The sequence below is a fragment of the Homo sapiens genome, chromosome 13 (assembly GCF_000001405.40).
Source record: "Homo sapiens chromosome 13, GRCh38.p14 Primary Assembly".
Lineage (NCBI taxonomy): Eukaryota > Metazoa > Chordata > Mammalia > Primates > Hominidae > Homo > Homo sapiens.
This window is the reverse complement of record NC_000013.11, coordinates 42942660-42957060: the sequence shown is the minus strand read 5'-3', so window position 1 is coordinate 42957060 and position 14401 is coordinate 42942660. Positions and strand designations below refer to the sequence as shown.

General features: G+C 41.8%; 1 protein-coding gene across 14 annotated transcripts in view; it reads left to right on the top strand.

Moving 5' to 3' along the window:
* EPSTI1 (epithelial stromal interaction 1) overlaps positions 1–14401 on the top strand; it is a 105854-nt gene that overhangs the window by 35181 nt on the left and 56272 nt on the right. For all 14 annotated transcript variants that reach the window (NM_001331228.2, XM_011535313.2, NM_033255.5 and 11 more), the window contains one exon: positions 3040–3113. In NM_001331228.2, the coding sequence (NP_001318157.1) occupies positions 3040–3113 (74 nt within the window). The remainder of the gene's footprint in view (positions 1–3039; positions 3114–14401) is intronic.

Genomic DNA, 14401 nt, shown 5'->3' with positions numbered 1-14401 from the left:
GTAATTTATGGCCTAGATTACTGTGAGAATCACCCCAGGGGTTCTCGTGTATTTGTGGCCCTTGCTGCAGTTTAACCTCCATGTTGCTATAAGAGTGAGCCACTTCCTTTCCTGCTTAATATAATGGCTTACTGTTGGGTTTCATAAAGTCCAAACTCCTTTACTTGGCACATACATTCCTATATAATTATTCCTTCTTACTTTCTCATCCTTATCTTCTACTCCTTTCTCTATAAACGTTGTTCAATTTATCCATGAGCTTCTTGGGTTTCCTTGAGCTAACATATTCTCTTGTACCTTTGTATATTAAAAACGTTAAGTTCTGGGAATGCCCCTTTCCTGTCCAGGGTTACTACCAGCCCATGGTTGCCTTTGTGCAAATTAGAGACCAATTCTCCATCCAGGCGGTCAATTCTGTGGGTGCTCAGACTGGTGATAGATAGTGCCTTTGTGAGACACAGAAAAAGACACCTCCTCTGCGCTAAAGCAGCCACAAGCTGCAGTACAAATCTTGGTGAGCTGAACACTGGCTCTATTTTTCCTTTCCTACTCCCCTCCTGCCTGCTGGGACCCCATGGGCTGAACAACCCATATAATGGAGTGTAGTAACCCTGTTCCTACCTTCTCCTCCTCCTGAAACACTCTTGCTTAAGATTGGGTTGGATATAGAATTTCTCTCTCTCATTAGAGCCATGGTATTTATCCTTTTATTTGGTCATCAGCTCTTTGGGGAATATGAAGAAAGCTGTGAGTCCACTCTCCATAGAAAGAAGCACCCTCATAACATGCAGCTTACCCAAAGTTAGAAACCACATTCCCAGTGTTATTCCGCTTCTTGGCTCTCGTGCTCAGGATGGAGTCTAACATTAAGTAGGCATTGAGTTACTGTGGAACTTTTGAGAGCATTTCCTGACAATCCATATAAGTGCTTTTTCTGCATTCTTACTGTTATTTGCAAACTGCTGTCCCCTAATGTGTTTAGCATACTGCCATCATTTCTTTTTTGTCTGTGTCCCCAACGAGGCTGTAACATTTTCCAGAATGGGCACTTCTCTGTTCGTAGCTGTATTCCCAGCATCTAACATGGTACCGAGCATATAACAGGCATTTGATATGAATAGGGATTGAATACAATTTTTCAACTACTCCAGAAATACTACTACTACTACTTCCCCCCCCCCCCAAATACTTCTTCATCAACTATCAACTTCTGCTGAGGCATAAACAAACATTTTTTGTTTTTTTTTGTTTTTCTTCTGAGATGGAGTTTCACTCTTGTCGCCCAGGCTGGAGTGCAATGGCACGATCTTGACTCATTGCAACCTCTGCCTCCCGAGTTCAAGCGATTCTCCTACCTCAGCCTCCCGAGTAGCTTGGACTACAGGTGCCTGCCACCACCACTGGCTAATTTTTAAATTTTTAGTAGAGATGAGATTTCACCATGTTGGCCAGACTGGTCTTGAACTCCTGACCTCAGATGATCCGCCCGCCTCGGCCTCCCAAAGATCTGGGATTACAGGCGTGAGTCACCGCGTCCTGCCATAAACAGACTTTTGTTGGATAAAATTTAGCTACTGTATGACTGTTTGTGAGTTGGAATCTATTAGTGAAAAGGTTAAAATCAGTGGTCTCAATTTCTAACCTTGCTAAAGGGATCCAGCCTTTTGTCTCTAGCTGTTTTTGGCTTTCTCACTGTTCTCTGAGTAGCATTCTGAATACTGGTTTAATCAACACTTACTGCTCGCTTGCTGTCTTTCACCCTTTTAGATCCACCACGACCCCCCAGTCCCCACCCTGGAGGGCAGGGAACTCATCACAATTGAACACTTTTGTGCTCATCAGTCAGGATTTTTTCCTAGACTAGAATCATGTTTATTTGGTTTTACAATTTTCCATTAGTTTGCCTCCTAGAATTCTGTGTTTCATTAATAATCCAGTTGCTTGCCTTATAATTGATTTTCTTTGACTGTAGTAAATTTCCTTTAGTTTTTTTCTGAAACTGAAATCATCATCCATTTTGCCTTTCAAAATGGGACTAGTAATTAGTTTTGAGTGAATGAAGACTTTCATGGAAATGAACAATACAAGCAGTTTCTTCATTTCTTTGAAAGATGGAACCAGACTTATGTTTGGGCTTGAAAGTGATGATTTCCAATATTCTCCTTTCACTGGTCCTCTTCTGGGCAAATCCAATTTTTATTAAAGCAACCCCAGCTCCTTACTGTCTCTCTTGGATTCATTTAAAACTTCATGATCCTCCTGGATAGTAGAATGTGTTTCAACTCTCCATTAAATTTGTTGTCTAGGAATTTTACTTGTTTTTCATAGGTCATAGCAAGTTAAAAAATGACAGTGTGTCATGGTGAGCAAAAAGCAAACATTCCTGGGTTATTTAAATTGGATTAAAATATGCCAGAGCCATGGTGACAGTAATATCAAATATGAAGGCCTTTATCTCCAGGCTCTCCAAACAGCTAATTAAAAAAAAGAACTATTTTCTATTCAAGTGGATGGCTTTTTTTATGACATGTGCTATTCAGTCCCTCAACAGCTTTAAGTATCTGATACTAAGTCAGAAGGGAGTTGGGTTGTCTTACTGAAAATCTCTTCTCAAATACTTTAGTAGAATTTGAGTGTATGTATAAATTTTGTATGAGCTGTTTAACCATTTATTATAATTTTAATTTAACATACTTGGTATGGAAATTTCATGTTTTCATTAAAACATTTTGAAAGCACTGCTTAAAAAATAAATGTTGCTATCATTTGAACTAAAGAATAAAAACGCAAAATGCTGGTTCTGTGATTATACCAATCAAGTTGGGAGAGGGGAGCTGTGGAAAGAACTTGGAGCTCCTGGCTTTCAGTGCAGTGCCCATGGGTCTGACAGGGAGTACCATCTTGGAGCCTCTAGCAGGATACTGTATTAGACTATCAAGGCCAGTTGAACCTTAGGATTTTGGACCTTGGGTAACTTTAACATCATGACTCTGCTTAAAGCATCTTTAATAAGTTATGTTTTGATATTTGCAATTTCAGAGCAATAAACTGGAGGAGAAAAAAAGACTTCAAGAAAACCTTAGAAGAGAAGCATTTAGAGAGCATCAGCAATAGTAAGTTAATGTTTTCAGAACTTCGTGCCTTTATAGGCAGATTGTTCATAGAGGTTTTAAATTCAGGTGATGCTAACTTGTCAAAACACCTGGTATTGGATTATTGGCTGTTGTATTAATTATGTAATTGAACTCTTTCACCATGTAAGTAAGGTGGGAGAGACATGTCTACTCACCAAAGTATCCTTTAGTAGTCAATAACACTAAATTTGAGAAATTCCCCATTATAAATAACTTGGAAGACTTGATCCTTTGGTGATCCAAGGTACTTCTGCTCATGTTGACGTCCAGGATACCAATATAAGGAATAGGGTGTTTGCACTGAAGTGCCTAAGCAGCGTCTAAACTGACCAGGGATTTATCTGATGGACTGAGGACCACTATACACTTGTGTTTTTTTCTAGACAAGAATTGAGAAATCATTTAGTAGTTATTGGCAAAAGTCTCAACTGGTGGTCATACACCAAGGTAATTTGCAGTATGATTTGTGAACAACAGCAGCTAACAGATACAGGGCAACTACTACATGCTTTATAACGTAATCTACTTTGTTATGTAGGCTTTAAGGATAAGCTCATGTCCTTTCTGGCCCTACATTAATTCTAAATGTGGTAGAAATAGAACCAAGCAGATCTGGGTTCAAAGTCCTAGCTCTCACTAAAACTCTTTGAATGTCAGTGTTTTTTTTTTTTTTTTCTTAAATACAGATAATATCTATCTTATAGGCCATTTGCAAGAATTAAATAAAATATGTAAATGACATAAAAGTGCCTGACTATTACAGGCACTTGAAATGATCCTTCTTACAGAGATCCTTATTGAATAGGATCATATAACTTTTATTTTATGGAGGCTGTACACAAATTTCTGGTCCCACCAGAACCAGTAATGGGCCCTCCACTTTCATATGAAATATTCACTGCCTGCCGCCTGTTCTCTCACTCCATTGTTGTTCCTTGTTTGCAGAATTTAAGATCACTCAGATGTTGGGGTGAGCATATTTGTGACAGCCTCCAACATATTCCCCCTCTAAGCACAGTATCTTCTGATTTCTCATGCCACTAAAATTATCCTGCCTCTATCATAAGCAGCTCCTTCTTGCTTTAAGATTCAGAGGCAGGAATGGAAGAGACGTTTCTCAACCCTCTGCTTTGCTCCTTAGCAAGTTAGGTACTGTGTTTCTGCTACCCAGGCCAGAAAATAGATGGGAGATGGTATGGGGTAGGATGAAAGTGTTGGTAAGTGATGTCATCCTCCTTAGCTAAAAGGAGCATCACTCTCATTTTCATCACAGAATCCTTAGCCTGTCTGTCCCAACTCTTCTTCTAAAGAAGGCATTTGAGTGAGGAGCTGGTGGGAAGCTAAGGAGCTAAGTACCAGGAGAAACTGTCTGTCTTGCAGAGAGATATGGTGGGAGGGAGGCACCAGATGAAGACTGTGAATGTATCATTGCCTCTCCTTTCATGGGTAGAGAATGAATGAGAATTTATTTTGAGGCTCAGCCGGAAGAGTTGAGAGAGATTAGGGGCTGGGCTGGTGGCTTTGTGTCTGGAGTTGGTTCCTTCTGGTGGGCTCTTGGACTCGCTCACTTCAAGAATGAAGCCATGGACCTTTGCGGTGAGTGTTACAGCTCTTAAAGGTGGCACAGACCCAAAGAGTGAGCAGCAGCAAGATTTATTGTGGAGAGCGAAAGAACAAAGCTTTCACAGCATGGAAGGGGACCCAAACAGGTTGCCGCTGCTGGCTGGGGTGGCCAGCTTTTATTGCCTTATTTGTCTGCGCCCACATCCCGTTGATCGGTCCATTTTATAGAGTGCTGATTGGTCCATTTTACAGAGTGCTGATTGGTCCATTTTACAAACCTCTAGCTAGTCACAGAGCGCTGATTGGTGCATTTTTACAGAGCACTGATTGGTGCATTTTACAAACCTCTTGCTAGCCACAGAGCACTGATTGGTGCGTTTTACAATCCTAGCTACGGAGTGCTGATTGGTGCATTTTACAATCCTCTTGTAAGACAGAAAAGTTCTCCAAGTCCCCACCTGGCCCAGAAGTCCAGCTGGCTTCACCTCTCAACTTTAGTAGCCTAGAGTCACAAATGAGAACAAATGTCATTGTCTTGTGGCATACTAGTTTTACATTGGAAGAGGGAAGACCTACTTAACAGTGAGGGGCCTTGGGCACAGGACTGGATAGTTGAATGGGTTCATTCTCTGGAGAGTTCTAAATATGGCAAAGTAAAGGGTAAGAGATTCTTGAAGTTTTAAAAGACATTAGAAGCTGTGCGTCCAACCTCCTTTCTTTTATAGTTCCAGCTTCTTGAGTTTGTGTTTTACTAAATACAGAAGATCAATCACCCTTTTTCTATAAAGAAAAAAGAAGTTTGCCCTCAGCCACCTGGCCTGCTATCAGTGGAGCTGAATTCAATTACACACACATTTCACTCTTGCTCTTTCTTCTGCTTATTGTAAAAGTCCCAGTTAACCAGGAAAAACAGAGTTTGGCTAAAATTGAGAAGTATCTCAAATTGATTTTTAAAGCCTATTGAGAAACACAAGAAGAGGTATATGTGTGAGGTTCTTCTTTGAAAGAGTATTATGTTTTGAATTACTTTTGAAATTAAAAGACCAATAACTCATGAAATAAGCAGTGAGTATGTAGTTAGAAATATAAAAGAGACTTATAAAAGATGGATCGTCTATATGACAAGTTTTTGTCATACCTCCTTAGAATCAGTGTATGGTGGAAAAAATGTCTAGGAAAGTGCTTTGGATTTTTTTTCTTTTTTTTGGAAATGGAGTCTTGCTCTGTTGCTCAGGCTGGAGTGCAATGGCTTGGTCTTGGCTCACTGTAACCTCCGCCTCCTGGGTTCAAGCGATTCTCCAGCCTCAGCCTCCCAAGTAGCTGGGATTACAGGTGAATGCCACCACACCCAATGAATTTTTATATTTTTAGTAGAGATAGGGTTTCACCATGTTGGCCAGGGTAGTCTCAAACTCCTGACCTCCAGTGATCCACCCGCCTTGACCTCCCAAAGCTCTGGGATTACAAGTGTGAGCCACTGCACCCAGCCACCTCTTTGGATTTTTAACAGCACAAAGGTTTTGCCAGACCAACCAGACTGCCTACCCCCACCTCCCAAATTAGATTCTCCTGAAACTGTTAAATGAAGGAACATAAAATAGAAACGTACATAAGAAATTCTTTCAAACCAGTCAATACTTTGCTAGTTTCACCATGCTGCAATGTGTGATTCATACAGCAAACCAGGAATGGTATTTTTTTTCTGTAGAGAGGACAACCATGGACTTGAGCGGACTATAAATCCAAGTTGCTGGAGAAAAAGCTCATGATAGCAACCTGGGGCACCACCATGAGAATCTTAATGTGCTCTTTCTTAACACCTTGTTCTTGACTTCGTTCATTTGCTTCTGATTATTTTTAGTGTTGTCAATTATTTAGCTAACAGGCAGAAAACTAGGCTTTTATTGACATCCAAAGGGACTCTCCTGAGTGTAATAATGAAGGCAGTTTATTGAATGCCTGTGAGGTTGCTTTCTAATTGTACGCATTAATCTGCCCGTGCAAGCTGGCTGAAAATACACAAGCAGATTGCACATGCAGATGGAGCACACAGGATGGTTTTTATGAAAAGACCTCTGGAATGTACTTTTGCAGTACTGTCTTTTCCCTAAAAATTGAATGACTGTGACTGTTTCAATGAGCGGCTGAGAGCAGAACAGATTAATGGTGCATTAAGTCTGCTACTCTGGCTAGGGACAGACTCCAATTTCATAATTTAGAATTCGTTTTAGGATTCTTGAGCCTGAAAACAGAGGGTAGAAATCGGCAGTTAGCCTTGGTCTAACTTTCAAGGTTATTTTTAGTCTCTGTAATTATTTACTACTTATAAAAATTCATGTGTGATACCTTTGGGTGGACTTTTCTATTAGATGGAAGACGTGAAGTAACAGTTGATAAGCCTTTTTTAAAAAACAATGATAGGATTTTATGATTTAGGTTGTTTAAAACATTGGGTAAAATAAATCTCAGCATTTAAAATTTTAATTGGTAATTTGTTGGTGGTGGGGGCGGGGTGTAGTCATCTTTCCAATTGTGTTTTTTTGGATGAGTGTTAAGAGAGGTTTGAATTTCAGCTAGGGTAGGAATGTGAGTGAAGCAGGACAGATTCATTTTGTGTGCGGGTATTAGGAAAAAGTGTTCTTTTAAGAATTTTCTCGAGATATAAGAATTGGCTACATTTTAAACATTAACAATTTAAAATTCATGTCTAACAGCCACTTGATGACCAAAAAAGAAAAGTCTCTCTTTTCTTTTCTTTTTTTTTTTTTTTTTGACATGGAGTCTTGTTCTGTTGCCCAGGCTGGAGTGCAGTGGCTCAATCTCAGCTCACTGCAACTGCTGCCTCCTGGGTTCAGGCGATTTCTCCCGCCTCAGCCTCCCCAGTAGCTGGGGCTATAGGCATGCAACACCATGCCCAGCTAATGTTTTGTACTTTTAGTAGAGGTGGGGTTTCACCATATTGGCCAGGCTGGTCTTGAACTCCTGACCTCATGTGATCCACCTGCCTCGGCCTCCCAAAGTGCTGGGATTACAGGCGTGAGCCACGTGCCTGGGCCAAAGCCTCTCTTTTCAACCCTTAAAGATAACAGATTCTCACTTATCTCTCCTTGATCTGGGGAAGACCTGGAAGGGGTAAGAGTGTCTCTACATATGCAAATTTTCCCCACAAAAGACAGCTTTACAGGGCCATTTCAAAATATGCCAAAGAAATATATTTTGGGGTAAAAAATTTTTATTTCCTTCAGGGTCTGCTATCTGTCGTGTGATGCTGTACTGGAGTCAGGTTGGAATTTGTTATCTTATTGCCACAAAGAGTCTGTTAGTGTTAGGGCAGTCTATGACGTCTATTTTAATGTGCTGGTTAGTTGTGCCTAAACTCCAAAAGGGAGGGGGCATTTAGAATTTGGAATTTAGTTTTTCTTTCTGGAATCCACTTGGCTACAAGGGAATCCATTAAGTCTGTTGGGGGGCTTGGGATTTTATCTCCTGTTTACACATTAAATGTAACAGATTATATATTCATATGGTTTTAAAATACAAAGTGCTTTGTTCTTTTAATCAAATAAAGTAATAAGAAGCTGCTATGAGACTGGGTGCTGTGGCTCACACCTGTAATCCCAGCACTTTGGGAGGCCAAGGTAGGTGGATTACCTGAGGTCAGCAGTTCAAGACCAGCTTGGGCAACATAGGGAGACCTCATCTCTACAAAAAATACAAAAATTTGCTGGGAGTGGTGGTGCATGCCTGTAGTCCCAGCTCCTTGGGAAGCTGAGGTGGGAGGATCTCTTAAGCCCAGGAATTTGAGGTTACAGTGAGCTATGGTCATGCCGCCACTGCACTCTAGCCTGAGCAACAGAACGAGACCTTGTCTCACCGAAAAAAACAAAAACAAAAAAAAAAACACAAAAAACAAACAAACAGCAAAAAAAAAAAAAAAACAACAAGCCACTCTGGAGTTCCTGCAGAGAGCTTGGTGAGAAGTGAAGCATGGCCACTTCCCCTATGGCCCTCCCAGGAAAGCTGGGGTCCAAGGACAAGCAAGCCTCTGCTCTGCAGGCACCTGGAGCCCTTGCCATGGCTGTGCACTGGCAGGGCCCAGGCCTTGATGCAGAGGAGGGCCCCTCTCTCCACTCCACCTCTTTGACCATCAGGCAGCTGCCTCTCTGAGCCCAGACCCAGCTGGCTGCTGGGCCTCCCGGCCTAACCCTGCCTGGCCTAGATGAAGCCTTCAGGATGCAGCCGCTTTGGGTGGCGCCGGTGTGCAGGGTGGGAAGCCTGGCAGCTGCGGGAACACCGTGGAGAGCGCTGTGGGGTGAGGCCTGGAAGGTGGGTCTGCAGACGGACCCAACTCCGCCACCTCTGTTGGCCTGAAACCCAGCAGGACCGGGGCCTGGGGTGACCACTCTGTCCCAGTTGGGTGAGGCCTGCCTCGTTATTGATGACAATGGACCAAGGCCTTAACGGTCCAGAAGGTGAGCAGAGCCCTGACGGATGAAACTGCTAGAAGCCACCAGGCGGGGTTGATCTCCCATCTATCATACCTTCATATCAGAAGAGAAACAGTAGGAGATAAGCCACATTTGGGCAACAGAAAGGCCCACTGGTCTTTGGAAAAATGTACAGGCCCTGTGTAGAAGATCTGTGTACGTCATAGGAAAAACTGCTCTCAACTGACCTCCCCAAGGTTTTAAAAGAGCACTTGCTACATCTAGCCCTTCTAGATGTAGATAGGTTTTGCCAAATTATGATAAAAGAGTCATAAAATCACACATCTTGCAAATGCTCACCTCTTAAAAAAAATCATATAAAATGTCTTCTGGGATGACTTTTTGAAATGGATTTGTGAGACCACCTCTGGAAGTGACATCAGGGATGACATGTCCACAATTGTTCAGTGGATAAGAGGACTTGGGGTGGAAGACCTGAGAAGGAGGAGAAGAAGGCTCCATGCTAGACTGATCATATTTAGGAGACATTTTCATATTTTAACCATCGCTTTGTGTGTGTATTTTATTCCTCACTACTGTATACATGGTTGGCAATACTAAGTACTTTTTTTTTGAAATGTCTGGGCTTTCTTCTAGATGTTCTGAAGTGCCTGATATGTGTTAAAAGTACAGGTAGTAAAATAACACATTTTGTGAATATCTTTTTGTTGAAATTCATATGAAATGTTGTTTTTAGTGGGGACTGGCCAAACCACCTCTTGAGTAATACAACATTGTGTTTCAGGGGAGGAGGGAGGAGGGGGAAGTGGAAAGAGTCTATGCCCGTGTGCCTGTAGTGAGGCAAGAGTAACTATTGTCCCTTACATCTGTGAGTAGTGTTTTACTTATCTGTGTTTATAGTGTATATAAAGCAGTGGTCCCCAACCTTTTTGGCACAGGGAACTGGCTTTGTGGAAGGCAATTTTTCCATGAATGGGGCAAGGGGGATGGTTTTGGGATGAAACTGTTCCACCTCAGATCATCAGGCATTAGTTGGATTCTCATAAGGAGCATGTAACCCAGATCCTTCACATGTGCAGTTCACAATAGGGTTTGTTCTCCTATGAGATTCTAATACCGCTGCTGTTCTGACAGGAGACGGTGCTCAGATATTCCTGACCTTCAAAATACATAGGGGTGGTGAGCACTGTAGAAACACAGGCTACCTGTGGAGAGGACTATTGGAGAGGGTGGGACAGACAGCTCAGAGAGAAAGACTTGGGCAGTTGACTTCTATTTCTTCCTACCAATATCTGGATTTTGCTAGAATAGGCAAAAGTAAAGAGAGGAAATGTGTCTGCTTTCTCTGGGATCAGCATATATGAATGACCTCCTCTTCCCAGACCCAACATGGATTAGTACCGTAATTAAACTTACTGTAGGGTAGGTGGGCTTTTGTGACCTCTCCTGGCTGCACTCTATTCCTACGTACAATTTCCAACATTGTTTCTAGGGGACAAGGGGCTCAGTTCTAAAAACCTCAGTTGGAAAAGCTCTTGGAACCAAGCGCATTCCAAAATAGGGTCTTCCTATTTCTAAATTGCCTTGCACCACCTTGAGCTCAGCCTGCCGATTGTAATATTGGAAAGTTTTCTTCATTTTTGCCATTGAAACCATGCATCTTCTTTACTTGCATTTGAATAATAGTGTGATTAGTTCCTATGGGGCACATCTTCATCTATTTTAGTCTCCTAGAGCTGAGAATCCAGGCAAGTCAGCTGAATATGCACACATAGGCACCAAGTTTGCCTTCCAATATGCTCACAAAACTTCTAATGCCCTTCATGGGAGCTTCTGAAAGACACTTAAGGGCTCAGTTGATCCCTTACCCATATGGTAGGCTTAAATCCAGCCTTGAATTTTATAATCCAGGTAAGGTGAATAGAAAGTCATCCTATTCATAACTTTCTATCTTATGCTAATAAAGTGAACTTATAGATACAAAAATCTCATATCTATTTTGTTCAGAATAAGACTGAACAGCTTATGAAAAATCTGGTCAGAGGAATTCCTACCTATTGAATGTAAAATTATGTTGATGGTTAGAACCATATCACAATCTCTACCCACTATCAATTCTCCCTGCAGATATCCTGGTGTATGCTACCTCATTTTCATTCCCACTGCCACTGCCCTGATGTCAGTATTATCACATGCCACTTGAATCATGGCCTGTGTCTTTTGTGATTTCTTGTCACCCCCTGGACTACTGCAGTGAGTTTGTTACTATCTTTGCAACCAGTCTCTTCATTGTCTTACATGTTTTGTCAAGTTTAGTTTTCTAAAACATAGCTTTAGTCATGTCACTCTACTGGTCAAACAGATTTGATTATCTCCTATTCCTACTGCCTATAAAATGAATTCCAGACTCCTTAGCCACACCGTGGGGAACCATGGGCCATCTTAGATGTCAGAAAGGACTTATAGCATTTGGGTCTGTGTCAGGTTGATGTGGTTTGGCTGTGTCCCCATCCAAATCTCATCTTGAATTGTAGCTCCCATAATTCCCATGTGTTGTGGGAGGGACCTGGCCGGAGGTAATTGAATCATGGGGGTGGGTCTTTCCCATTGCTGTTCTTGTGATACTGAATACATCTCATGAGATCTGGTGATTTTATAAAGGGCGGTTCCCCTGCACCCACTGTTTCTTGCCTGCCGCCGTGTAAGATGTGTCTTTGCTCCTCCTTCACTTTTCGCCACGATTGTGAGGCCTCCCCAGCCATGTGGAACTGTGAGTCAATTAAACCTCTTTTTCTTTGTAAGTTACCCAGTCTTGGGCATGTCTTTATTAGCAGTGTGAGAACAGACTAATACGTAGGTGATTTAGGGGAAGATTTAAGGAAGCAGAGCTTTGCTCTGAATTGGATCTTATCAGGAAGCAGGGGTAGGTCTATGATGAGGTGTCTTAATCAATTCTATCTAGAAGGAAGGAAGACCAGAGTGAGACTCATGCTGTAATTGATAAAGAAGCAGAAGTCACTCATATTAGCCATAATTTTGGGATCTTTGGTCACTATTATAGTTTCTACAAGGTCCATGTATTTTTCTGTGTTCAGACATGTTATAGAGTGATCTTGTTTTTGTTATGAGCTATTATAGTCACAGTGACCTCTTCTGATATTGACATTATGTAACATTGGTTACTTTCAACAGGAGAACACCAAGGCCTAGCTGTGAGTGCCAGGCCAGTTTTTTATTTTTATTTTTTATCATACTTTAATTTCTGGGATACATGTGAAGAACGCGCAGCTTTGTTACATAGGTATACACGTGCCACGGTGGTTTGCTGCACCCATCAATTCATCATCTACATTAGGTATTTCTCCTAATGCTATCCCTCCCCTAGCCCCCCACCCCATTACAGGCCCTGGTGTGTGATGTTCCCCTCCCTGTGTCCATGTGTTCTCGTTGTTCAACTCCCACTTATGAATGAGAACATGCAGTGTTTGGTTTTCTGTTCCTGTGTTAGTTTTCTGAGAACGATGGTTTCCAGCTTCATCCATGTCTCTGCAAAGGACATGAACTCATCCTTTTTTATGTCTGCATAGTATTCCATGGTGTATATGTGCCACATTTTCTTTATCCAGCCCAACATTGATGGGCATTTGGGTTGGTTCCAAGTCTTTGCTATTGTGAACAATGCTGCAATAAATATACGTGTGCATGTGCCTTTATAGTAGAATGATTTATAATCCTTTGGGTATATACCCGATAATGGGACTGCTGGGTCAAATGATATTGCTGTTTCTAGATCCTTGAGGAATTGCCACACTGTCTTCCACAATGGTTGAACCAATTTACACTCCCACCAACAGTGTAAAAGTGTTCCTATTTCTCCACATCCTCTCCAGCAACTGTTTTTTCCTGACTTTTTAATGATCGCCATTCTAACTGGCATGAGATGGTATCTCATTGTGATTTTGATTTGCATTTCTCTAATGACCAGTGATAGTGAGCTTTTTTTCATATGTTTGTTGGCTGCATAAATGTCTTCTTTTGAGAAGTGTCTGTTCATATGCTTTGCCCACTTTTTGATGAGGTTGTTTTTTTCTGGTAAATTTGTTTAAATTCTTTGTAGATTCTGGTTATTAGCCCTTTGTCAGGTGGATAGATTGCAACATTTTTCTCCCATTCTGTAGGTTGGCCAGGCCAGTTTTTGTCTTTCTCTGTATGCAATTAATAATTGGTAAAAAAATAAAAGTTGACTAGTTCCTTTTTTACAAAATAGTTTCACTTGGTTTTCTTATCACTGGAACCTAGTACCATCCATGTTCTCCTTTTGGGAGGGCAGGGGATCTGGGGGTTAGACTGCCTGAGTTTAAATTATAACATTTTTCCTCATTAATAGGACATTATTTAACCTCTTGGGGCCTCGTTTCCTCACATATAGCCTGGGGTAGGGGGTAACAATAACTGCTAACTCAGAAGAAGATTAACTGATACAATCCACATAAGAGATCCAGGATAGTGTTTGGAAAGAGACGCTGAATACAGTGTAACTCCAACAAGGACAGCAGAGGAAGAAGTGAAGGAAAGTGAGCAGCCAACTCCAGCCTTTACCCCCAACAATAGAGCCTGAGAACTCTTCTTGATGCATAAGATTCACTAAGAAGGCCCTGGGGCCCAGAAAGTGCTTCTGGTAAACATGCTATACCTGGGGGAATATGTGGTCCCCATTCTGGAGACAAGCCATCTGCATAGCCAACTTCATCACTTCTATGTGAGCTCTAAGAGCCGTATTTTAAAAATTACATGAAAATGAATGCTAGTCAAACAAGTAGTAAATCCAAGAAAGAGGAAGGCATAGATACCAGAACAATTGTGAACAAAGAAGACAGTGACATTTTTGGTCAAATATGTGCTTGTTTTTCTGTTTAAATAAGAATCAGGGCTGGGCGCGGTGGCTCACGCCTGTAATCCCAGCACTTTGGGAGGCCGAGGTGGGTGGATCATGAGGTCAGGAGATCGAGACCATCCTGGCTAACAAGGTGAAACCCCGTCTCTACTAAAAATACAAAAAATTAGCCGGGCGCGGTGGCGGGCGCCTGTAGTCCCAGCTACTCGGGAGGCTGAGGCAGGAGAATGGCGTGAACCCGGGAAGCGGAGCTTGCAGTGAGCCGAGATTGCGCCACTGCAGTCTGCAGTCCGGCCTGGGCGACAGAGCAAGACTCCGTCTCAAAAAAAAAAAAAAAAAAAAAAAAAAAAAAAAAAAAAAAA